Source organism: Homo sapiens, chromosome 19 (genome assembly GCF_000001405.40).
Source record: "Homo sapiens chromosome 19, GRCh38.p14 Primary Assembly".
Lineage (NCBI taxonomy): Eukaryota > Metazoa > Chordata > Mammalia > Primates > Hominidae > Homo > Homo sapiens.
This window is the reverse complement of record NC_000019.10, coordinates 50,213,900-50,239,050: the sequence shown is the minus strand read 5'-3', so window position 1 is coordinate 50,239,050 and position 25,151 is coordinate 50,213,900. Positions and strand designations below refer to the sequence as shown.

Sequence of the window (25,151 nt, the reverse complement as noted above, 5' to 3'; positions counted from 1 at the left end):
GAGACTCCATCATGCGCAAGAGAGAATTTTTTTTGTTTTTTTTTGGAGGTTGGGGGACAACTGGCCTAAGGTCTGTGGACTGGATAACAGTGCTGTGCTGAACTCGATTTCCTGGTGACACTGCTGGTCTGTGGTTGTATAAAGGAATGTTCGTAGGAAATACATGCTGATGTTTTCAGAGGAGGTGGGAGGATGAATAACAGACCCCAAAGATACCCATAACCTAATCCCTGGGACCTGTGAATGTGACCTTCCATGGCAAAAGGGACTTTGCAGATGTGATTAAATGAAGGATCCTAGGCCAGTCGTGGTGGCTCACACCTGTAATCCCAGCACTTTGGGAGGCCAAGGCAAGGGGATCACTTGAGGTCAGGAGTTCGAGACCAGCCTGGCCAACATGGTGAACCCCGACTCTACCAAAAATGCAAAATATAAGCTGGGTGTGGTGGCGAGCGCCTATAATCTCAGCTGCTCGGGAGGCTGAAATGGGAGAATTGCTTGAACCAGGGAGGTGGAGGTTGGAGTAAGCTGAGATCACACCACCGCACTCTGCTCCAGCCTGGGCAACAGAGCGCTAGACTCCATCTCAAAAAAAATAAAAAATAAAAAAGATAAATAAAGAAGGACACATCCTTACAGACCCACAGTGCATCTGGCCCAGCAAACTTAATGATCATTCCTTAACATCAGCTTAGACCCCGTCCAGACCTGGCTTCCATCAATGGCCTTTAAAATGGCCTCTTGCAGTTGGCTTAGGAAGCTGTGTTTGTGCCAGGCCCCAGGGCGCATCTGATGCCCTGAGGACCTGGCAGTCAGCTCTTGTTGCTGACATCAGACTCGCCCATCACTAGCAAGCCCAGCCTGCGGATGCCTCATGTGAGAGGCTGGCATGCCTCCCTGTGTCCCAGGCTACCTGCTCAACCTCTCAGCATGGCATTTATGGTGCCAAGGGGTGGCAGGCAGAGATGTAAAATGGGGAAGGAGATGGACAGACACCCTGCCTTGATTGGCCCCAAATGCTTTCTGCCTTGGGCTCCCTGTGGGTGACACTGAGGTGTCCACCTCTCTCTCTGGATCATGGGCTGGCTTTGGGGTCAGACGTTTCCACCATGGCTTTGCCTCCTCCTCTTGAATTGGGGTGAGTCCTAGGACAGGACACCCCACCTCCCTGACCCTCTGTCTCTTGTCAAAAAAAGTCTGTGAAAAGGTGACTAACTCCACTCCTTGTAAGCAAAACACAGAATGAAACTGTAATGAGAGCTCATTCATCTGCCACATCAGCAAAGACAAAAAAGCTCCAGCCATCGTTGCTGGGTGCAGGTGGGGACACAGGTGCTCCAGGTATATGCTGGAGGAACTGGAAACTAGCGCCACCCTGTGGACAGCGACGAGGTAGATTCTCTGCAATTTAAAAAATGCTCATGGCCGGGTGCGGTGGCTCACGCCTGTAATCCCAGCATTTTGGGAGGCGGAGGCGGGTGGATCACTTGAGGTCAGGAGTTCGAGACCAGCCTGGCCAACACGGTGAAACCCTGCCTCTACTAAAAATACAAAAAAAGTTAGCGGGTGTGGTGGCACATGCCTGTAATCCCAGCTACTCAGGAGGCTGAGGTAGGAGAATTGTTTGAACCCGGGAGGTGGAAGTTGCAGTGAGTCGAGATCGTGCCACTGCACTCCAACCCCAGGTGACAGAACGAGACTCTGTCTCAAAAAAAAAAAAAAATGTTCACACCTGAGTTGGGGTAGGGAGGTTGGGGAGAGATGAAACACAAGAGGTCACCGGTTCATCATTGATGGAGCTGGTGACAGCTGCCAGCTGGTGGTGGTGGGGCATTCATTACATTCTGCACTCTGTTTGCATACATGTTTGAAATTTTCCATGATAAGAAGATAACAATAAAAATTATTCAGCAATAAAAAGGAAGGAAACCTACTGCATGCTACAATGTGGATGAAACTTGAAAATGATGCCAAGAGAAAGCAGCCAGTCACAAAGGATCATATACGGCATGATTTCACTGCTATGAAATGTCCAGAATACGCAAGTCCATAGAGACCGAAAGCAGAAGAGTGGTTGCCAGAGGCTGTGGACAGGGCCTGGGGGGACAGCTAAAGGGTATGCGTTATCTTCTTGGGCTACTGAAAATGTTCTAAAAGTGACTGTATGATAGGTGCACAACTCTATGAATACACAAAATGCTATGGAATTGCACAGTTTAAATAGGTGAATGGTGTGACGTGAATTATATCTTAAAGCTGTTCGATTTTTTTAATGCTGAACGCAAACAAGAATCACAAGTCTCCTTGGAAATGGCATTTCATTTCTTTTTTTTCTTTTTTTTTGAGATGGAGTCTTGCTCTGACACCCAGGCTGGAGTGCAGTGGCTTAATCTTGGCTCACTGCAACCTCCGCCTCCCGGGTTCAAGCGATTCTCCTGCCTCAACCTCCCGAGTAGCTGGGATTACAGGCATGTGCCACCACGCCCAGCTAATTTTTGTATTTTTAGTAGAGACAGGGTTTCACCATGTTGGTCAGACTGGTCTCAAACTTCTGACCTCATGATCCGCCTGCCTCGGCCTCCCAAAGTGCTGGGATTACAGGTGTGAGCCACCGCGCCCAGCTGGCATTTCGTTTCTAAGAATTGAACCTACAGGTCTGTTTCCACAAGAGCACAAGAACCTGTTTACAAGGATATTCACGGTAGCTTGTTTCTTTTTGACCCAGAGTCTCACTTTGTCGCCCAGGCTGGAGTGCAGTGGCATGATCTCGGTTCACTGCAGCCTCCACCTCCCGGGCTCAAGAGATCCTCCCACCTCAGCCCCCCAAATAGCTGGGAGTAAAGGCGCACACCACCACGCCCAGGTAATTTTTTGTGTTTTTTGTAAAGACGAGGTTGCATCATGTTGCCCAGGCTGGTCTCAAACTCCTGAGCTCAAGCAAGCTGCCTGCTTTGGCCTCTGAAAGTGCTGGGATTACAGGCGTGAGCCACTGCGCTGGCTTAGCATTTTTTTTTTTAATTGTTCCAATAGTAATGGAATGGAAACAACCTAAGGCTCTATCTGCAAGGGATTGGCTGAAAGAATCATAGTTTATTTAAACAATAAAACCTTACGCAGCTGCAAAAAGGAATGAGGTCCATCTATTTTGAACCACAACTATGGCCAAAATATACCAGTCTGTAGGAAAGGGCAGTGGAGAGGGGGTCCAGAGCATCCTTCCATGGGAATGATGAGCTGAGTAATTTGTTTCTTTGTTTTGGGGTGTTTTGAGATGGGGTCTCATTCTATCACCAGCCTGGAGTACAGTGGTGCAATCATAGCTCACTGTAGTCTCCTACTCCTGGACTTAATCCTCCCACCTCAGCCTCCCAAGTAGCTGGGACTACAGATTTGCACCACCACACCTGGTTAATTTTTTTTTTTTTTAATTTTTAGTAGAGACAGGGTCTCACCATATTGCCCAGGCTGGTCTCAAACTCCTGGCCTCAAGTGATTCTCCCACCTCGGCCTCCCAAAGTGTTAGGATTACAGGAGTGAGCCAATGACAAGCTGAGTATTTAACTCTAGCACTGCCTGGCCCAGACTAACCTAGGCCAGAGTGCTGGGCCAGGGTCCAGGGGGGTCTCTAGTGGAAGGGTAGGGAGCTGGGGGGCCAGCTGGAGCAACCAACATCCAGGAACTTTTTTTTTTTTTTTTGGATGGAGTCTCGCTCTGCTCCAAGCTGGAGTGCAGTGGTGAGATCTTGGCTCACTGCAACCTCTGCCTCCCAGGTTCAAGCAATTCTCTAGCCTCAGCCTCCTGAGTAGCTGGGACTACAGGCGCCCACCACCATGTCTGGCTAATTTTTGTATTTTTAGTAGAGACGGGGTTTCACCATGTTGGCCAGGCTGGTCTCGAACTCCTGACCTCAGTCGGCCTCCCAAACTGTTGGGATTACAGGCGTGAGCCACTGCACTTGGCCGGAACTTTTGAACCAATAGAGAAATTGCTTCACATTTTTTTTATCACCACAGTGATGTTGACAGCTGAACATCAGCTGTGGGGTTAGAGAATGCCTCCTCCTATAGACAAATAATATGTGTCTTTTCTTATATTCTTAAAATATTTCTGGAAGGAGATACAAGAAGCTCAACAGTGGGAAACTAGGGCCAGGGAAGAGTGGGAAGGCTTGGTTTTGTCAGTACAACCTTTAGCCACATTCAGTTTATGTTACTACATGCATAGGTTGCTGCAAAGTTTTTATTTCTGAATTCCAAAAATCAGAGCTGCTGCCTGCGCCTGCCACACAGCAGGGCAGCTGCCAGGAGGGTCACATGAGCTCATGGTGACAAGAGGCCAGGCAGGACCTAAGAGGACAGGCTGGGAGGCCCAGGTCCCCATTGCAGCCACAGTCTGAATTTGTGTGCCAGCTGCCCAGCTGCGGAGTCATGCAGGCTGGGGAATTATGCAACCCTGGTTGGGAAATGCGGCGGGGTGGGGGTGGGAGAGGCCCAAGACCCTGTGTCAATAGGCCACAAGAGGCCCGGCTGTTTGCAGCCTGGGTAGACAGCCAAGCTACGCTCCATTTCCAGCACTTCCAATCCGGCCCTGGAGCCAACAATAGCTCCTGGGGCCTCCCACAGCGCCAGAGACCAGAAGACAATCAGACCCAGAGGCGGCCCTGGCTCAGCCCAGAAACACCTAAAGGTCTTTCTTTGGAGGGCTTGGTTAAAAGAATCATAGTTCACGCAAACAATGAAACATTACGCAGCCTCTGAAAAGGCGGAGGTCCACCTACGTACTTGTTACGGGTTGAATCATGTCTACACCACCCCCTCCTAAAAAGCATGTTGGGGATCTAAACCCCAGGACCTCAGAATGTGACAGTATTGGAAACAGGGTCATTACGGATGTAACGAGTTAAGATAAAATCATACCAGTGTAGGGTAGGAGGCCAGGTGCGGTGGCTCATGCCTGTAATCCCAGCACTTTGGGAGGCGGAGGCGGGAGGATCACTTGAAGTCAGCAGTTCGAGACCAGCCTGGCCAACTTAGTGAAACCCTGTCTCTACTAAAAGTACAAAAAAATTAGCCGGGTGTGGTGGCACACACGCCTGTGATCCCAACTACTTGGGAGGCTGAGGCAGGAGAATCGCTTGAACCCGGGAGGTGGAGGTTGCAGTGAGCCGAGATTGCACCACTTGCACTCCAGCAAGACTCCGTCTCAAAAAAACAAAAAGGTTGGGGCGGGGGGGTCGGGGGGAGGGGGGAGGGGGAATTTTGGACACAGATGCACACACAGGGAGCCGCCATGTGAACACAAAAGCAGAGATCGGGTGATGCGACTATGAGCCAGGGAACGCCGAAGATTGCCAGAAAACCACCAGGAGCCTAGGGAGAGACCTGCAGCCGATTCTCCCGGGATGAACCACCCTCACTAACACCACGATCCCGGGCGTCTGGCCTCCAGAACCACAAGACAATCAATTTCTGTTGTTTTAGGCACTAGGTTTGTGGTACTTTGTTAGCCTAAGCAAACTAATGCAGCACTGAGACAGAGCTGCTGTCAAAACATGCTGTTTGGTGAAAAAAGTGGGGGCACAGGCTGGGCGCAGCGGCTCACGCCTGGAATCCCAGCACTTTGAGAGGCCGAGGAGGGTGGATCACCTGATGTCAGGGGTTCGAGACCAGCCTGGCCAACATGGTGAAACCCCATGTCTACTAAAAATACAAAAATTATCCAGGCGAGGTGGCGGGCGCCTGTAATCCCAGTTACTCGGGAGGCTGAGGCAGGAGAATTACTTGAACACAGGAGGCAGAGGTTGCAGTGGGCTGAGATCACACCACTGCATTCCAGCCTGGGTAACAGAGTGAGACTCCCTCTCAAAAGAAAAAAAAAAGTGGGGGTGGGCACAGCACCCTGACACGGGGGTGATGAGCTGAGCATTTAACACCAAATAACCAGTGCCGCGCAGCCTGGGCCAACCTGAGCAGCCCTGGGACAGCGTCCTGAGCCTTCCCTAGAGCCTCAGCAGCCTCCTTCTGGTCTCAGCACCACCCACTCCAGTGTGTCTCTCACACGGCCCCCAAGGGGTCTTCTTGCTCCCAGAGCTGAATTTGTCCAACCCCTGCTCCCAGCCCTCCCACAGCTCCCCAGCACCCCAGGACAAAGTCCCAACCTCCTAGGCTGGCGTTTGAGACTCCCCACCCCTCTGCAGCTCCACCACCAGAAGTGTCAATCCCTCAAATATGCCACCCCTTTCCTGCCTCAGGGCCTTTGCACAGGCTGTTCCCTCTGCCAGGAATGCTCTTCCCCCACATCTCCAGTGCTCATTCCCTCACTTCCTCAGGACTTCGTTCAAACATCCCCATCTCAGTCCACCCTCCCCTGAGCCCCTGCTTAAAGCTGTGCCCCTCCCTCCCCCATCTTTCTCCATGGCACTCATGGTCTTTTTGTTTTTTTTTTTTTTTTTTTTTTTGAGACAGAGTCTCGCTCTGTTGACCAGGCTGCAGTGCAGTGGTGCGATCTCAGCTCACTGCAACCTCCGCCTCCTGGGTTCAAACTATTCTCCTGCCTAAGCCTCCTGAGTAGCTGGGATTACAGGTGCCCACCACCACGCCTGGCTAACTTTTTTGTATTTTCAGTAGAAACGGTGTTTCACCATATTGGCCAGGCTGGTCTTGAACTCCTGACCTCAAATGATCCACCTGCCTGGGACTCCCAAAGTGCTGGGATTACAGGCATGAGCCACTGCGCCCAGCTGCACTCATAGTCTACTAACAGGCCATGTGATTCCTTATTGACTTGGTTGGGGGCTCTCATTTTGTCAGCTTCCTCAAGGCAGAGATGTCTGTGAGCCTCATTCCCTGCTCTGGCCCCGGTGCCTGCACCCAGTAGGTGCTCAATAAACACTTGCTCAAAGAGATCGGGGCATGAATGGCCAGGTCCCCAGCTCTCCGTGGGGTTCCCCCCTACCCCTGGCCTCCACGGGGCTCACTCACAGATGATTTCCTCGTGGCTGAATCCCAGGACCCGCAGCGACTCCAGCGTCTCCTGGAAGAGTTCCCGCTCCTGGCCGGGAGAGGATGACGGCCCGTTGGTCAGGAACCGGTAGTGGGAGCAGGGCTCGAGGAGGAGGTCGGCTGCAGGGACAATGAGTGGGGTCAAGGTCAAAGGTGGGCTGTGCAGTCAGACTCATCCTGGATTCATCGGTGGCAATCCCAGGACATGCCATATCCTCACTGTCAAGTGGGTGGGGGCCTTTACTCACAAGTGTGGTGGGAAGGGTCGGGGGTGGAGTGGGCGTTTAGCACCTATGAGACCACCACTCTGTCTCTATTTTTTTTTTTTAATTTTTTAGAGACAGGGTCTTGCTCTGTTGCCCAGGCTGCAGTGCAGTGATGCAATCATGGCTCACCACAGCCTCAAACTCCTGGGCTCAAGCAATCCTCCCACCTCAGCCTCCCACATAGCTGGGACTACAGCTGTGTGCCACCATGCCCAGCTTATTATTATTGTTATTATTTACAGAGATGGGGGTCTCACTATGCTGCCCAGGCTGGACTCAAATTCCTGGGCTCAAGCAATCCTCCTGCCTCACCCTCCCAAAGTACTGGGATTGCAGGCATGAGTCCCCACGCAGTGTATACCACTCCTCTTTGCTCCCTCCGCAGGGACTTTTGAGTCTCTAGAAGTGCCCAGAGCAGGCAGGGGCCACTGGTTGGCAGAAGCAGTGGGGCTGCAGGCCCAAGTCAGCACAGGCCATGGGATGGCAGGGGCCGGCGCCCAAGGACATGCGGTCTCAAAGGCCACAGTGAGTGGGAACCTGGATGAGGAGGGGCTATGTGGCCGCAGGAGCCAGGAAGCGGCCTGAGCCACCAGGAGGAAGGAGCCAGGAGCAGAGGGAGCTACAGGGCAGTGCCAGCCACTGCAAACAGGAGCCAAGGGCGCTTGGGCAGCCAGAGGGCAGGAGGAACAGGGAGCAGGGACAGGAGGACTCCGGCAAGAGCCGTGGCCTAGGAGCCAGAGCAGAGGGGAGCACGAGGCAGCACGAGCCGAGAAGCAACACAAACCAGCGTCGTCAGGAACCAGGAGGAGCCTCAGCAAAGCCGGAGTCACCCGCCGGAGTGAGGAGAAGCCGCGCGAGAGAGAAGCCACGGAGCTTCGGAAGCGAGCGTGAGCAGGAGCCACCAGGCGGCGGGGGCTGCGTGGCCGTGACAGCGGGCGCGAGCCAGACCCGGGACAGAGCTGGAACCAGAGCGCAGCAGAACCCACCGTGCGACAGACGCCACTACGCAGCGAGAGCAGGGGCTGCGGGAGCCTCATGCGAAGTCGGTGTTTGACGGATATTAGAGCCCCCCACTCTTGCTTCCTCCCCAGAAGGGGCCCCCGAGAGACATGGTGCCCACCCTCTCCCGGGTGAGCAGGGTAGGACGGGGCGGCACTGACCTTTGAGCTGCTCTCCAGCGCCCCCCAGCAGCTGGTAGAAGATGTGGAAGCTGCACTCGTCCTTGGCCTGGCGGATGGCCCGCGACTTCTCCAGCAGGTCTGGACACAGCGAGTCAAGGTGCTAGAGGGGAAGGGACGGCCCCGACGCTGCCAGGCCACTACAGGAGCCTGCCCTGCCCACGCTGCCCCCTTCTCTCCTGTGGTGTAGTGGAGTCGCTCACAGCCCAGGCTGGTGACTTTGCCACTAACTGGAAGAGCAGCCGTGCTCATGTCACTTAAGCACTTGTGCCTCAGTTTCCTCATCTACCTGTTCAAGGGGCTTGAAAATAACACCTTTAGGAGACCTTCCTCTCTCTCTCTCTCTCTTTTTAGAGACAGGGTCTTGCTCTGTCTCTAAAAAACTCATCAACCCTGTGGGCGCAGTGGCTCACGCCTGTAATCCCAACACTTTGGAAAGCCAAGGCAGGCGGATCACCTGAGGTCAGGAGTTCAAGACCAGCCTGGCCAACATGGCAAAATCCCATCTCTACTAAAAATACAAAAATTATAGGTGTGATCGCGGGTGCCTGTAATCTCAGCTGCTTGGGAGGCTGAGGCAGGAGAATCGCTTGAACCCGGGAGGAGGAGGTTGCAGTGAGCCGAGATTGCGCCACTGCACTCCAGCCTGGGCGACAGAGTGAGACTCTGTCACAAAAACAAAACAAAGAAACCTCATCGACCCTGGATGAGTTGCTGTGAAGATAAATGACTTATTGTGCATGAAGCACCCTGAACAATGCCTGGTTCAAAGTTACCCGCAGGTGAGAATGTCTCCTGCCATTAGTACTCTCCCAGCCTCAGCTTCCCCATGCAGATAATCAGCTCCCACCTTCAACTAGACTGTCACTCTGCATGCTCTCCCTCCCAAGAAAGTCACGTGTCAAACTTACATATTAAAAGGTGGCAAGACTTTTGTTTGTTTTGTTTTGTTTTGTTTTGTTTTTTTAGACAGGGTCTGGCTCTGTTGCCTCAGCTGGAGCACAGCAGCACAATCACAGCTCACTGTAACCTCCGCCTCCCCAGCTCAAGCAATACTCCCACCTCAGCCTCAAGTAGCTGGGACTACAGGTGTGCACAACCACACCTGGCTAATTTTTAAATTTTCTTTATTTTAGTAGAGAGGAGGTCTGACTGGCCTCGAATTCCTGAGCTCAAGTGATCCTCCAGCCTTAGCCTCCCAAAGTGCTGGGATTACAGGCATGAGCCACTGCGCCCAGCCAAAACATCTTAGAGTAAAACAAAACACCAAAACACCATACACTTTGCTTAACCCCTCTGTGTCCCTCATGCACCACCACACTCATGCACCACCAAATACATATTTGGACCAAGATCAGCTGCAAACCTGAGGTCCATTTCCCAGAAGCCCTGGGGTGTAACCTGCTTGGTTAGATGGGGAGAAACAGGTGGAGGGGCTCCCACAAGGAAAGCTGGAAGGCAGGGAGCACACGCAGGCTGTCGAACCCTGGGGGACAACAGCCCTGAGCTTCGGTTTCCTCCTCTGTGAAGCGGGGGTGATAGCAGCAGCCACCTCGCAGGGTTGCAGAGAGGAGGAACTGAGATATCATGGGGACTCTCGAGGTGGCGGTGGGCACACAGTCAGCACTCCAGAAAAGCTGGTCACGATGGCACTGATGCTAGTGCCGAGGGGTCAGCCACACAGGGTGGTGCTCCTTACCCGGCAGGCCATCCCAAGACTCATACGATTGGCCTGGGGGCGGGACCTGATTCATGAGCATCAATCCACTGGTGCCTGAGACAGCCGGGACCACAGCTGTGCCCAGGAGGGGCAGCCACACTGCATGGGGAGCGTGGACAGGAGAAAGTGAGCAGGTGGAAGCGGACAGAGAAGGCAAATATGAATATAAGCAGAGACACACAAGTGCCAGGACAGTTTGGCAGGAAGAGCCATGAGCTCCAAGAACCTGGATATGCAGGTACCATGGAGAGGTGGGAGCCAAGGGCAAGAGGACCTGGAGGAAGGAGCAGCCATGAGCAGAAAACGGCAGGAGCAGGGGCTGCGGTGCTGCTGGGGACTTGGGGTGGTGACAGCCCAGGAAGCATCTCCCACAAGGCAGCAGAACCAACGGGCCGGCTGGCTGCTTCATGCCCTGAGCAGACTTAGGAGAAACCCCTCCCCACTGATTATGGAAGAGCGTGAGCTTATCAGATGCCTCTGGGATGGGGATGTGGCTTATTAGCAGTTGTTAATGTTATTGATTAGTAATTATCAATCAATATTAGTCAATAATATTAGCATTGATACAGATATTGCTAATTTAACCTTTTTTTTTTTTTTGACACAGAGTCTCGCTCTGTCACCCAGGTTGGAGTGCAGTGGCGTGATCTCGGCTCACTGCAACCTCTGCCTCCCAGGTTCAAGCAATTCTCCTGCCTCAGCCTCCATAGTAGCTGGGACTACAAGCATGCGCCACCACGCCCGGCTAATTTTTTTGTATTTTTATTAGAGACAGGGTTTCACCATGTTGGCCTGGCTGGTCTCAAACTCCTGGCTTCAAATGATCCACCGGCCTTGGCCTCCCAAAGTGCTGGGATTACAAGCATGAGCCACCGTGCCTGGCCACTAATTTAATCATTAATTGCTAATAATAGCTTGTTCTTGAGTGCCTGCTATGTAGCAGGTGCTGTGGCCAAGCATTTAACTCCAAAATCCTCCAAACCCCTCTTGGGTAGGTTCTATGTTCCTTCTCCTTCTACAGAGGGAGAAACTGAGGCAGGGAAAGGCCAAGTCACGTACCCAAGTCCCCAGAGTCTCAAAGTGGCAGAACTGGGATTTGAACCCAGGTTGGTACGATTTCTTGGCCCATTCTCTTAATTTCTGCACTCCCAGAGTGCCTGTGTTTTATTGTTTAATTTCCTTTAAACGCCCATATGCCATCTGAGCAGAAAACAGCCGTCCTGAGATGCTCCCCTGGAAAGGCCTGCTGGCCAGGTGGGCCCCTGGCTAGCGTCTGGGCACCTGGATTTCGGGAGGGTTCCAGCATCCTCTAACAGGATGAGGGGTTCGCTAGACCTAAAGGGTTTGTGCAAACACTGTGGTTTACACTGATCACCTGCTTTCCTCCCGGGAGTGTGGAATTTTGGTTCATACTAAGGGCGGGGGACGGGGGGTGCAGGCGGGGATGTGGCCAGCCACCAGTGAAAACCCTGGTAGTGAGTCTCTCTGTGCTTCCCCGGGACAGCATTTCATAAGTGTTGTCGCACCTGGTGTCCTGTGTGCCTCTGCTGGAGAGGGTTCTAGGAGCTTGTGCCTGGTCCCTGGGGACTTGGCCCCACGTGCCTTTTCCCTTTGCTTATACTGCTCTATGTCATTTCACTGTCATGGGTCACCATGAGTGCCACTGCAGGCTAAGTGCTGGGACTCCCCTTATGGCTGAACTGGGTGGACCCCAACCCACCACCCCATAGCGAGGCTGTGCTGGCCTCATACACACCAGAAGTCCCACCCTCCCCTCCCCATGCAGATGCCGCCTGAGCATCAGGTCCCATCTGAGTAGCAGGTAAGGGGTCCCTGCAGTGGGAGGTGCTTTCCATACTCAGTGCTGTCTGAAAGGCTGCCCCCCTTGGCTGCCACCCCCATGGGCTGTGAGAGGATACAGGTCTCAATGTTGGCGCCCACGATGTACCCGGCAACATCAAAGTTGATGCGGATGAATTTGCCCTGGGAGAGACCAAAGTGGGTGGGCTTCAGCAGAGGGTCCCCTTCCCCACTCACACGTGAACAACAGCCCAAACCCCACACCCACTGCTCCCAGAGCTGCGGCTGCCCCCCCACTTCCTTGCTCCCTCTACCTGAACCCCATCCTGTGGTGAGTCCCCATCGGGGGGCTCCTTGGGAATTCAAGGTCCGGGCCCCTTGGACTTCTTTCCCCAGCCCCCTGGTCCCCAGCTGCTCCTCCCTTGGAACTAGGCACGCAGCCTCCAGCCCCTCCTCCCTCAGACCCAGGGATCCGGGCCTGCACTCCCTCATCCCTCAGACTCAAGAGTCCAGGGCCCCAGCCCCTCCTCCTTCAGACCCAGGGATCTGGGCCCCCAGCCCCTCCTCCTTCAGACCCAGGGGTCCAGGCCACCAGCCCCTCCTCCCTCAGACTCAAAAGTCCAGGCCCCCAGCCCCTCCTCCCTCAGACCCAGGGGTCCAGGCCCCCAGCCCCTCCTCCCTCAGACTCAAAAGTCCAGGCCCCCAGCCCCTCCTCCCTCAGACCCAGGGGTCTGGGGCTCCCAGCCCCTCCTCCCTCAGACCCAGGGGTCCAGGCCCCCAGCCCCTCCTCCCCCAGACTCAAGAGTCCAGGTCCCCAGCCCCTCCTCCCTCAGACTCAAGAATCCAGGGCCCCAGCCCCTCCTCCCTCAGACCCAGAGGTTCAGGCCCCCAGCCCCTCCTCCCTCAGACTCAAAAGTCCAGGCCCCCAGCCCCTCCTCCCTCAGACCCAGGGGTCCAGGTCCCCAGCCCCTCCTCCCTCAGACTCAAAAGTCCAGGCCCCCAGCCCCTCCTCCCTCAGACCCAGGGGTCTGGGGCTCCCAGCCCCTCCTCCCTCAGACCCAGGGGTCCAGGCCCCCAGCCCCTCCTCCCCCAGACTCAAGAGTCCAGGTCCCCAGCCCCTCCTCCCTCAGACTCAAGAATCCAGGGCCCCAGCCCCTCCTCCCTCAGACCCAGAGGTTCAGGCCCCCAGCCCCTCCTCCCTCAGACTCAAGAGTCCAGGCCCCCAGCCCCTCCTCCCTCAGACCCAGGGGTCCAGGCCCCCAGCCCCTCCTCCCTCAGACTCAAGAGTCCAGACCCCCAGCCCCTCCTCCCTCAACAGATCCACGTGTCTTTCCCCCTGAAGCCCACCCTGAGGTTCCCAGCTCCTGTATCCCTGACACAGCCAGCACTGCCCACCCCTGGCACTCACGAATCGGGAGGAGTTGTCATTCTTCACTGTCTTGGCATTGCCAAAGGCCTCTAGGATGGGGTTGGCCTGAAGCAGCTGCCGCTCCAGCTCACCCTGCCGGGCACAGGAGATGATGCATGAGGTCAGTGAGAATGGGGCAGGAGGCCAGGCCAGCCCAGCTCGGGCTGTGTCTCCAGCTGACTGAGTATCTGTGTGTGAGGGGCCTTTGTGTGTCTGGGCGTGTACCCACTTCCCATATCCGGGTCTTGCCCATCTGTCTATTGTGAGGGGAAGAGGGAAGCATCTCCAAGACATGTTGTTAAGTGGAAACCAAACCAAACCAAGCCAAACAAAAAAACAAGTTGCAGAACAATGTCTACAATGTTATCCCATTAATAAGAAATGAATTAAGGAAGAAACGCCACAAAACAGGACTCTTAAATCTACAGATATATACATGTTTGTAAACATATGGAGAAAGGTCTGCAAGGATGCACACCAAACTGTCAACAGTGTAAGGCACTCCAAGGAAGGGGACTGAGGGGAGGAAACAGGAATTTCATTTCATCTGATTTGTTGTTGTTACAATGAATATGTACTCATGTGTTGCTTGTAGAAATTCTGGAGTGCAGTGGCATGGTCATAACTCATAGCAGCCTCAAATTCCTGGGCTCAAGGAATCCTCTCACCTCAGCCTCCTGAGTAGCTGGGACTACAGGCAAGCACCACCATGCCCAGCTACTTTTTAAAATTTTTAGTAGAGATGGGGTCTCACTCTTTTGCCTAGCCTGGTCTTGAACTCCTGGCCTCAAGCAATCCTCCCACTTCAGCCTTCCAAAGTGCTGGGATTATAGACCTGAGCCACCAAACCCAGCCTAGAATTTTTAAGTAAGGCAAAAATCTGTACCACCTATGTAAAGTGCTTCAAGCAGTCTGGCATATAATAGGCCTTCAAAAAATAGTGGGTTCCTAGCCCCACCAGGCTACTCCTTGGCAGGAACTCTACTCCAAACTTCCCTCCAGCCCCCTTGGTGTCAGAGCCTGGCACACAGTAGGTGCTTCATAAATGGCAGCCTGTTTATGTCTTCTCTCAGTCCATGTCTTGCTTGTGTTAAGATGAAATGATCTAGCTAGGTGGATGCTTTGTCAAATGAAAAGATACACAAAGTGAAGGGCACATGACTTGGCACACAGAAGAACATGGGACATGCGTGTATTTCCCTTGCTACACTGTTCACTCTGGTTGTGTGCACGCAGCATCTGTGGGCCCTGGCTGGACACATTTAGTAGATCAGCAGTAAGTGGCAGTTTTGTTCTCTGGATTGTTTCATGTTGGTGTCTGTGGCCCATCTGCACACACTCACACAGCAGGGCCGCCATGAATAGCAGTGGTGGGGCAGAGGGGTCCCTGGCAGGTGGGACCACTGCTGCCTTGGGCCCTGTCTACCAAGAAGATCATGCATTGGGTGGCCGGGAAGGCATTAGGGGCAGCAAGACTCGAGGTGATCCCCTGCTACTCACATAAGACACGGTGCTGACGGAGGCCTGAGGAAGTCACGGGACACGAGACACGGACCAGGACACAGCACATGGAACGTGGACAGACACACAGGTGAACCAGTGATCTCAGGTGGTGGCATGGGGGGTGGGGGAAGGGGGACTGGGGAAACCGGGCATGTGGAGTAGGGTGGCCTGGAGGACCACACTCCTGGGTTTGAATCCCACTCTACCTCCTTTATTCAAAAATGTTTTTTGTAGCGATGGGGTCCCACTATATTACCCAGGCTGGTCTTGAATTCCTGGGCTCAAGCGATCCTCCTGCCTCGGCCTCCCAAACTGCTGGGATTACAGGCATGAGCCACTGTGCCCGGCCTCACTGTACCTCTTCCTCGGTGCATGACCAACAACTGACTCACCCCTCCCATGCCTGGGCTCTCCGTCTTCAGTGCAGGAAAACAGCACCCACCCCACCCGAGGGGTAAGTAAGGCAGTGTGAGAACAGGGCTTGGAACAGTGGAGGGCACCATATAACATTCACTTAGACGACAAACCCAGGCATCATGATCACCTAAAATCAGGCTTGACACAGTAGGTGCTCAGAAAAGAAAGCACCTACTAAGTACTAGGAGCCATTCCGAGAGCCAGTGAGACCAAGACTGACCCTCACACCTCTGTGTCCCCCTGACTCTGCTTCCAGCCCCACCCCAGGCACACAGTAGGTGCTCAGGTGGCATAGGCGTCTAGGAGAAGGACCTCCATGAGGGGAAGAGACAATTGTGGGGAAAGCCCAAGATGGAAGGGGCAGTGCTGTGGCAGGGCCCGGGGGTGACCCAAGGCGGGGTTGCTTACGGGGACACCCGGCTCCTTCCTGCCCTTTGGAGACGACGCCACGTGGGCGAGGTACTGGATGACCTTCTTGGTGTTTTCCGTCTTCCCAGCTCCAGACTCTCCACTGTGGGGATGACAAGGGGAAGCAAAGGGGTTGGCAATGACCTCAGGCAAGCTCCCCACCTGCCCTGCCCATTCCAAACACAGCCACGCCCCACCCAGACCTCTCCTCCTCCAGGAAGTCCTTCCAGATTACTCACGTGCAGAGAATGGACTGGTCCTCACGATCTGTAGGGGACAGAGTGGGGGAATATGTCATCTGAGAGAGTCTCTAGCAGGGCCCTCTGGTCCCTTACACTGGCCGCTGCATTTTAAAAATTATTCCCAGGGAGTAAGGAAAAGCTTGGGTCTTGATGTGTAACAATCCTGGATTCTAATTCCCCACCCAGCTCAGCCCCCTGCTCGCTGTGTGACCCTGGGAAAGCAGCTGTCCCTCTCTGAGCCTTGGTTTCCTCACCCGTAAAATGGAGACAGCCTCCCTCAACTGAAGAGAATATGATTCATTCAACGACCTCAACGTGAGACCCTACTGTGTGCTGCCTCATGCTGGGCATGTGAGATTCAAAGACAGAAGCGAGGTCCTGTAATATAAGATGTCTACCCCAGCGCCTGCCCTGGGCCTAACACAGCCATTCCACAATCACATGCTGACCACCTACTGAGCGCCAGGCATGGAGGGGAGTGGGGAACTGGCAGGGTGTGTGCCCCTACAGAGCTTCCACTTAAGATGTAGGGGACAGAAACCTACAATCAAATACCGATCAGCACTGGGAAGAAAATTGAATCAGTACTAGAATAAAGCAGTGGTTCTTTTTTTTTTTTTTTTTTTTTGAGACGGAGTCTTGCTCTGTCGCCCAGGCTGGAGTACAGTGGCGCAATCTCGGCTCACTGCAAGCTCTGCCTCTCGGGTTCACGCCATTCTCCTGCCTCAACCTCCCAAGTACCTGGGACTAGAGGCGCCCACCACCACGCCCAGCTAATTTTTTGTATTTTAAGTAGAGACAGGGTTTCACTGTGTTAGCCAGGATGGTCTCGATCTCCTGACCTCGTGATCCACCGGCCTCGGCCTCCCAAAGTGCTGGGATTACAGGTATGAGCCACTGCACCCGGCCGAAGCAGTGGTTCTTAAACGGGGGTAATTATGTCCTCCATTCCCGCCAGGAGACACCTGGCAATGTCTGGGAGACATTTTTGGTTATTACCCTGAGAGAGGAGAGCTCCATGGGCACTGAGTGGGTAGAGGCCGGGGTGCTACTAAACATCCTACAATGACCAGGACAGCCTCCCACGACAAAGAATCATCCAGCCCCAAATGTCAGTAGAGCCAGGATTCCAAAACCCTGGTGTTAGGTAATAAGAATTGACTTGGGGGAAGGAGCAGGGAAGGCTTCTCAGTGGAGGTGGCATTTCAGGCAGAGGGCACAGCCAGGGGAAAGGCTCTGAGTTAGAAATGTTTGAGAGACAGAAAGGCCAGTGAGGTTGGGGGATAGGGCAGAGATGGCGAGTGGTGGGATGGGTTTTAAAGCAGCGATTAGGCTGGACACAGTGGCTCATACCTGTAATCCCAGCACTTTGGGAGGCCGAGGCCAGCAGATCACCCGAAGTCAGGAGTTCAAGACCAGCCTGGGCAACATGGTGAAACCCCATCTCTACTAAAAATACAAAAATTAGCCAGGCATGGTGGCGCCACCTATAATCCCCAGCTACTCAGGAGGCTGAGGCAGAAGAATCACTTGAACCCGGGAGGCGGAGGTTGCAGTGAGCCAAGATCGTGCCATTGCACTCCAGCCTGGGTGACAAGAGTGAGGCTCCGTCTCTAAATAAATAAATTTAAATAAATAAAGCCATGATCAAAGGGTCTGAATGTTTTTTTAAGCAGGACAGGCATCCTCTGGGTGTCTTCAAGCCAGGGAGTAAGCTGCGTCCAGTAGGACCTCAGACTTGGCAGCCTGGTATGGGGGACTATATGCACACAGGTTCACCGCCCGGCTGCCTCTCTGACTTGCTGCGTGACCTTGGGCCAGTCTCTGAGTTGCTTTGTGCCTCTGTTTTCCCATCTGAAAAATGGGGCTCAAAACAGCTGCCATCTCCCAGGGCTGTAGTCAGAACTCAGAATGCTCAAAATGCACTCAGCACAGTGCACGGCACAGGAGGAAATATAACACACAGTGTGACATACAGGGAGGCGGTGGTCAGGGGCCCTGGGTTCGAATCCCACCTCAGCATACACCCACCAGTGTGACCATGACTGTTTTGCTCTGTGCCTCAGTTTCCCCACCCAGAAATCAGGGACAAGGAGATAACCTATTTCATAGATTTGCTACGAGGTTAAATGAATTAATCCAGCAGAAACTGATAGACCTGCCAGGAGAAATAGATGAATCCACTATTCTACCTGGAGACTTCAGTATTCCCATTTGATACTCCCATTTAATATGCATATTAAATAAGCATATTAGGCCGGGCATGGTGGCTCATGCCTGTAATCCCAGCACTTTGGGAGGCTGAGGTAGGCGGATCACCTGAGGTCAGGAGTTCGAGACCAGCCCGGCCAACATGGTGAAACCTGGTCTCTACTAAAAATACAAAAATTAGCTGTGCATGGTGGCATGTGCCTGTAGTCCCAGCCACTCGGGAGGCTGAGGCAGGACAATGGCTTGAACCCGGGAGGAGGTTGCAGCGAGCTAAGGTCATGCCACTGCACTCCAGCTTGGGTGACAGAGTGAGACTCTGTCTCAAAAAAAAAAATAAGCATAATATGTTTACAATATTATGCTATTTAATATACCATTTAATTTAATATGTTATACTATTTAATTTAACACATTATACTTATTGAATATGCATATTAATAGGTATAATTTATTAAATCAACATTACATTTATATAATAATAAAATAAATATAAAGTATAATAAAATAAAAATGAAGTATAATAAAAATAAAGTATAATAAAATAAAATACTTATTGAATATGCATATTAAATAAGCATAATATATTCACAATATTATACTATTTAATCAAATATATAAATTTAATAATTTGCTCATATTTAATATGCATATTCAATAAGTATAATATATTCATATTCAGGCCCTGAGGTAGGACTGACTTAGGGATGTTTGACAGACAGGAAGGTGGGTGAGGCTGGGGTGCGGGACGGAAATGGCGAGCGGCACCGATGGGTTTCGAAGCCATGATCGAAGGGTCTGAATGTTGTGTACTATTACATGGGGTTTTTCCTTTTTTAACAAAAACTTGTTAAATTTTTTTGTAGAGACAGGGTCTTGTTATGTTGCCCAGGCTGGTCTTGAGCTCCTGAACTCAAGCAATTCTCCTGCCTTGGCCTCCCAAAGTGCTGGGATTACAGGTGTGAGCCACCGCCCCTGGCCTATTATATGTTATATGATGTAAATAGATATAATTTTTAAATGTTTAATAGATATAAACAAAAAATACTAAATATCTATGAAAATAGATGATATATAGCAAATATATAATAAGGGCATTATATCTATAATAGATGTTAATCATGTAATTCTGCCAGGACTGATCTATGTTGTCATGGTATGAATGGCAGCCCCTTGGATGGATACCCTTGTTCAGTGTACAACCTGCTCAGCTGTACACAACTGCCTTGACCTGCCATCTGTCTAAGGGGCTACATTTACCCCGTGACAATGGAGATCAGATCTACAATTCAACGATAAATGTTGAATAAATGAATGAACACTCTGGGAATTACTGTCTCAAGGGAAATGTTCGTAAAAGCCCCACACCCAACCAATATTGTTCGGAGAAAGAGGGAACAAAGATCTTTAAAGAATCTCCATACTGTTTTCAATAGTGGTTGTACTAGTTTACATTCCACCAGCAGTGTAAAAGTGTTCCCATTTCACCGTATCCACACCAACATGTTATTTTTTGATTTTTTAATTATGGAAAACAGTATGGAGATTACTTAAAGAACCAAAAGTAGATATATCATTTGATCCAGCAACCCTACTCTGGGGTATCCACCCAGAGGAAAAGAAGCTATTATATGAAAAAGACACTTGCACACACATGTTTATAGCAGCACAATTCACAATTGCAAAAATATGGAACCAGACTAAATGCCCATCAACCAACGAGTAGATAAACTGTGATACATATATATATGTATTCCATGGTGTGTATACACACACACACATATATATCCCATGGTGTGTGTGTGAGTGTATACACACCATGGAATACTCATATATATATATATAGAGAGAGAGAGTATATATCCCATGGTGTGTATATATAAAAAATATATATATACACACCATGGGATATATAGACACACATACACCATGGAATACTACTCAGCCATAAAAGGGAATGAAATAATGGCATTCACAGCAACCTGGATGAAATTGGAGACCATTATTGTAAGTGAGGTAACTCGGGAATGGAAAATCAAACATCGTATGTTCTCACTTGTAAGTGGGAGCTAAGTTCTGAGGATGCAAAAACATAAGAATGACACAACTGACTTTGGGGACTCAGGGTGAAGGGTAGTGGGGGGTGGTGAGGGATAGATTACACATTGGGTGCAGTGTACACTGCTCCGATGGCAAGTGCACCAAAATCTCAGAAATCGCCACCAAAGAACTTTTCCATGCAACCAAACCCCGCCTGTTTCCCAAAAACTATTGAAATAAAAAATAAATTAATTTTTTTTTTGAGACAGAGTCTCCCTGTGTCTCCCAGGCTGGAGTGCAGTGGCGCGATCTCGGCTCACTGCAAGCTCCGCCTCCCGGGTTCACGCCATTCTCCTGCCTCAGCCTCCCGAGTAGCTGGGACTACAGGTGCCCGCCACCAGGCCCGGCTAATTCTTTTTGTATTTTTAGTAGAGACGGGGTTTCACCGTGTTAGCCAGAATGGTCTCGATCTCCTGACCTCGTGATCCGCCTGCCTCAGCCTCCCAAAGTGCTGGGATTACAGGCGTGAGCCACCGCGCCTGGCCAAAAATAAATTAATTTATTTAAAAATTTAAAAAGAGGCCAGGCATGGTGGCTTATGCCTGTAATCCCAGAACTTTGGAAGGCCGAGGTGGGCAGATCACTTGAGGTCAGGAGTTTGAGACCAGCCTGGCCAACATGGTGAAACCCCATCTCTTAGCCAGGCGCAGTGGTGCACGCCTGTAGTCCCAGCCACTTGGGAGGCTGAGGCACGAGAATCGCTTGAGCCCAGGAGGCAGAGGTTGCAGTGAGCCAAGATCATGCCACTGCACTCCAGCCTGGGTGACGGAGCAAGACTCCGTCTCAAACTAATAATAATAATAACAATAATAAAAGAGACAATGAACATGGAGACAGGTAAAAAGACTCTAGGACCTAGCACCTCACCCACTCAGGCCTCTACTTGTGCTCCCTCCAGCCCCCTAAGAAGCCCTACAGAGTCAAGTCTACAAGCTGTCATTTGACCTGGACTCTGGCTTCCGGCAGCCCCAGGTCAGGCCCCCGTTGAAGAGCCGCCTCGCTGGCCTACAGCCCCACCCAGCACTCACCCTGCAGCATGCTCCGATAGGCCCCCTCGGTCACTGCGTACACGTGGGGTGGCACCTCGTGGCGCTTCTTGCCCCGGTACATCTCCACAATGGCTTCTGTGTAGATGGGAAGCTGCTTGTACGGGTTGATGACCACACAGAAAAGGCCGGAGTACGTCTGCAGTGGGTGAGAGGGGAGAGGGTCTCAGATGGCTGCCCACGGCCTGAAAGGCGTCATGGGGCTGCTGAGCAGGCCGTGCACTGCACAAGGGCATCTATCTGCACATGGTATGTCTACACCATAACAATGTAGATTTGAATGTTTGTTATGAGCATTTTCAGGCTGATGGTAGCAAAGAATCTTTCCAAATTGCACAAAGGCACTGTCTGGGTGAGGATTTGTCCTGAGAGAGAACAAGGCCTTTGCAGCCAGCCAGACTTGGGTCACAGCCTGTGGCTGCCTGGACTCACACAGGAAATGACCATGTGCGAGGTGACCGGTTGAGGCACTCTTTGTAGCAGCAAAAGACTAGAAACGACCTGAATGCATCTTCATACGATGCATTCCTACAAAGCTCTTATGTATAGACATGGGACTGTCTTCAAATCAATATCAAGTAAAAGGAGGTGAGTTGAGGACTGCGTGAGGAGCTACCATTTGCATTAGAAAGGATGGAAGAGGAGGGCCGGGCACGGTGGCTCACGCCTGCAATCCCAGCACTTTGGGAAGCCGAGACGGGTGGATCACGAGGTCAGGAGTTCGAGCCCAGCCTGGCCAGCATGGTGAAACCCCATCTCTACTAAAAGTACAAAAAAAATTAGCCAGGTGTGGTGACACATGCCTGTAGTCCCAGCTACTTGGGAGGCTGAGGCAGAAGAATTGTTTGAACCTGGCAGGCGGAGGTTGCAGTAAGCCAAGATTGCGCCACTGCACTCCAGCCTGGGCAACAGAGCGAGACTCTGTCTCAAAAAAAAAAAAAAAAAAAAAAAAGAAAGGATGGAAGAGGAATCTTTTTATATATTTTTATATATTCATTTGAATATGCATGGACTATCTCTGGAAGGGTGCCTGTGGTATCTGCAATAACCGAAATGCAACAGGAACATACCTGCGGTTTCTACTGATAATAGACACATAACAGTCCTGCTGACATGACCATGCCTAGTCTTTTTTTTTTTTCCCCTCTTTGAGACAGGGTCTTACTCTGTCACCCAGGCTGGAGTGCAGTGGTACAATCATGGCTCACTGCAGCCTCCACCTCCTAGACTAAAGCAATCCTCTCACCTCAGCCTCGAGAGTAGCTGGGATCACAAGTGTGTGTCAATCCACTAGGCTAATTTTTCTTATTTTTAGTAGAGACGGGGTCTCACTACGTTGCCCAGGCTGCTCTTGAATTCCTGGGCTCAACTAATTCTCCCACTACAGCCTCCCAAAGTGCCGGGATTACAGGCTTGAGTCACCGCACCTGGTGTATTTTTTTGTAGACACAGGGTCTCTCTATGTTGCCCAGGCTGGTCTTGAACTCCTGACCTCAAGTGATCTGCCCACCTCGGCCTCCCAAAGTGCTGGGATTAGAGATGTGAACCTTCACACCCGGCCTCAGGACTCTGTAACAGTTTAAGAACAAATCCAGCTCACAAGGGTATCATGTAGGCAAGAGGGGCTCAACACTCACAGAAGCAGTTAAACATAGCTAGAGAGCTAGTTAGCCACTTAGCTAAACCAGCCAGAGAGCTAACTAGCCAAGCTATCTAAAGTTAGCTAGCTAAACTAGCCAGAGAATTACCTGCTTAGTGGCTTAGCTAGTTAGCTACTCTGGGCTTGTCGCTTGACTTTGAAGCCACCCGGGATTCAAATTCAGATGTGTTTTCTAGCTGTGTGTGATAAAGTAGGGTAACCTACTCTGCTAGTCACCCAGCTAGCTGGTTTCTAAGCTGGTTAGCAGCAGGACTATCTTTTTCTTTTGTTTTTTAGAAACAGGATCTCACTTTGTCACCCAGGCTGGAGTGCAGTGGCATGAACACAGCTCACTGCAGCCTCTACCTCCTGGGCTCAAACAATCCTCCCACCTCAGCCTCCCAAGCAGATGGGACCACAGGTATGCACCACCATGCTTGGCCAATTTTTAAAATTTTTACTTTTTGTAGAGATCAGGTCTCACTATGTTGCCCAGGCTGGTCTTGAACCCCTGGCTCAAGTGATCTTCCCACCCCGGCATGCCTGGGATTACAGGCATGAGCCACTGTGCCCGGCCAGCAGAACTGTTTTAAGCTCCCAGGGAGCTTGAGCTTCTCAAGCACAGTAGGGTGTGGCCACCACAGGCTGCCTGGTCCCAGGTGCCAACCTTCTAACGGTGGGAGGGTGGGTGGCCTGGGTGGCCAGCCAGGAGCAGAACAACCGGTTTGCTGGGTGTCTGCCCTCCCTGCCTGAAAGGGCTGCTCCGGGAGCTCCCCCCAGCTCTCAGAGGGTGGGGCGGCCGGACCACATTCCCTGGGAGGGTATCTCATGGCTGCCGGCGCCCCGGCCCCCACTCCTGGCTGGCGGAGGAACCCACTCCCCACGCCACCCTCCCACCCTGGCCCCTCCTGCCAGCCACACCTTGTTTCCAGGGCGACACCCTGGGAACGGAAACCTGAGCTGGTCAACAAGGCTGGGGGGAAGAACAAAGGCTGGTGCACCCCCACAGGGTGGGAGACAGCTGGGGAAGCCCTCCTGGAAGGGTCAGGAATGGCTGCTCCAGCCCTCGGGGCTCTGAAGACAGACCTGCCCCCCCGCTCCCCTCAGCCTGGTGACTTTCCCCATAGTCTCAGTTTCCTCCTTGGGAAACCGAGGGCGACACTCCCCACCTCATTACAAAGGCTGTGGGGATTAGGGGAGATCATGGATAAAAACCAGCCAGGCCGAGGCGGGGCCCATGCAACACACGCCAGATATGGGTCTGGAGACTCTTACATCACTCATCCTACCTGGGAGCCCTAGGCTAACTCGGAATTTTTTGGACGGGGGCGGGTGGGACAGAGTCTGGCTCTGTCGCCCAGGCTGGAGTGTAGTGGCACGATCCTGGCTCACTGCAGCCTCAAACTCTCAGGCTCATCACTCAGACTTTGAAGCCATCCAGTGTTCAAATTCAGATGCAGCATTTTTGAGCTGTGTGTGAATTTGAATGAAGGATGTGTCCTCTCTAAACCTCAGTTTCCAGCCCTGGAAAATGCGGCTTTTAACCCATCACCTAGAAGTGTTCTGAGTGTGAAATCACATAATGCATCTTCCGTGTTTCTCAGAGCGGGGTGTTCTACGAAGGGGTTCCCTCCCTGCCCCAAGGGTCCCAGGAAAGGGACTGAGACTCTTAGCAACTCAAAGCCAAACAGCCTATTAGTGGCAGAAACTGGGTTTCTGGAGCCCTGGATGTCCCACTTTTCACTGGACAACACCACCATCCCCATCATCAGTTGGTCAGTCAACAAACATGTATTAAGCACAGGTCTTAAATAGGGCAGAGTTTGAATCACACCTGTAACATTTTCAGGCCAGGTGGCTCCAGCAAGCAACCTTTCAGGGTCTCAGTGTCTTTAGCTAACGGGGACAGAAATAGTGCTTCCTACATAAGGTGCCTGGGAGTCATCCACAAGTTCATGTGGCATGCAGAGGGTTTAATGTGAACCCCAGCTGGGCACAGCAGTGGCTCAAGCCTGTAAATCCAGCAGTTTGAGAGGCCCAGGCAAGAGGATCACTTGAGTCCAGGAGTTTGAGACTAGCCTGGGTAACATTGTGAAACACTGTCTCTACAACAAATTAAAAAATCAGCCAGGCTTGGTGGTATGTGCCTGTAGTCCCAGCTACTTAGGAGGCTGAGGCAGGAGGATCACTTGAGCCCAGGAGGTTGAGCTGCAGT

At 52.0% G+C, this 25,151-nt stretch overlaps 1 protein-coding gene across 3 annotated transcripts in view, besides 2 other annotated features; it reads right to left on the bottom strand.

The window, feature by feature from the left end:
- The window catches only part of MYH14 (myosin heavy chain 14), a 106,919-nt gene that overhangs the window by 71,490 nt on the left and 10,278 nt on the right, over positions 1–25,151 (bottom strand). For 2 of the 3 annotated variants that reach the window (NM_001145809.2, NM_001077186.2), the window contains exons 3-10: positions 21,280–21,436; positions 15,941–15,968; positions 15,702–15,804; positions 14,874–14,897; positions 13,374–13,466; positions 12,085–12,148; positions 8,428–8,526; positions 6,981–7,121 (exon numbers count right to left, since the gene is read on the bottom strand). In NM_001145809.2, the coding sequence (NP_001139281.1) occupies positions 6,981–7,121; positions 8,428–8,526; positions 12,085–12,148; positions 13,374–13,466; positions 14,874–14,897; positions 15,702–15,804; positions 15,941–15,968; positions 21,280–21,436 (709 nt within the window). The remainder of the gene's footprint in view (positions 1–6,980; positions 7,122–8,427; positions 8,527–12,084; positions 12,149–13,373; positions 13,467–14,873; positions 14,898–15,701; positions 15,805–15,940; positions 15,969–21,279; positions 21,437–25,151) is intronic. The other variant, NM_024729.4, reaches the window with a different exon arrangement.
- Positions 8,365–8,659: an enhancer, noted in NCBI's record as "tiled region #11309; K562 Activating non-DNase unmatched - State 20:ReprD". NCBI's record gives its function as "activates a minimal TATA promoter and a strong SV40 promoter by Sharpr-MPRA in K562 cells {active_cell/tissue: K562}" and the evidence as "EXISTENCE:reporter gene assay evidence [ECO:0000049][PMID:27701403]".
- Positions 23,235–23,810: an enhancer, noted in NCBI's record as "H3K4me1 hESC enhancer chr19:50718498-50719073 (GRCh37/hg19 assembly coordinates)". NCBI's record gives its function as "activates a minimal SCP1, AML or CMV promoter by ChIP-STARR-seq in naive H9 embryonic stem cells {active_cell/tissue: H9 hESC(naive)}" and the evidence as "EXISTENCE:reporter gene assay evidence [ECO:0000049][PMID:30033119]".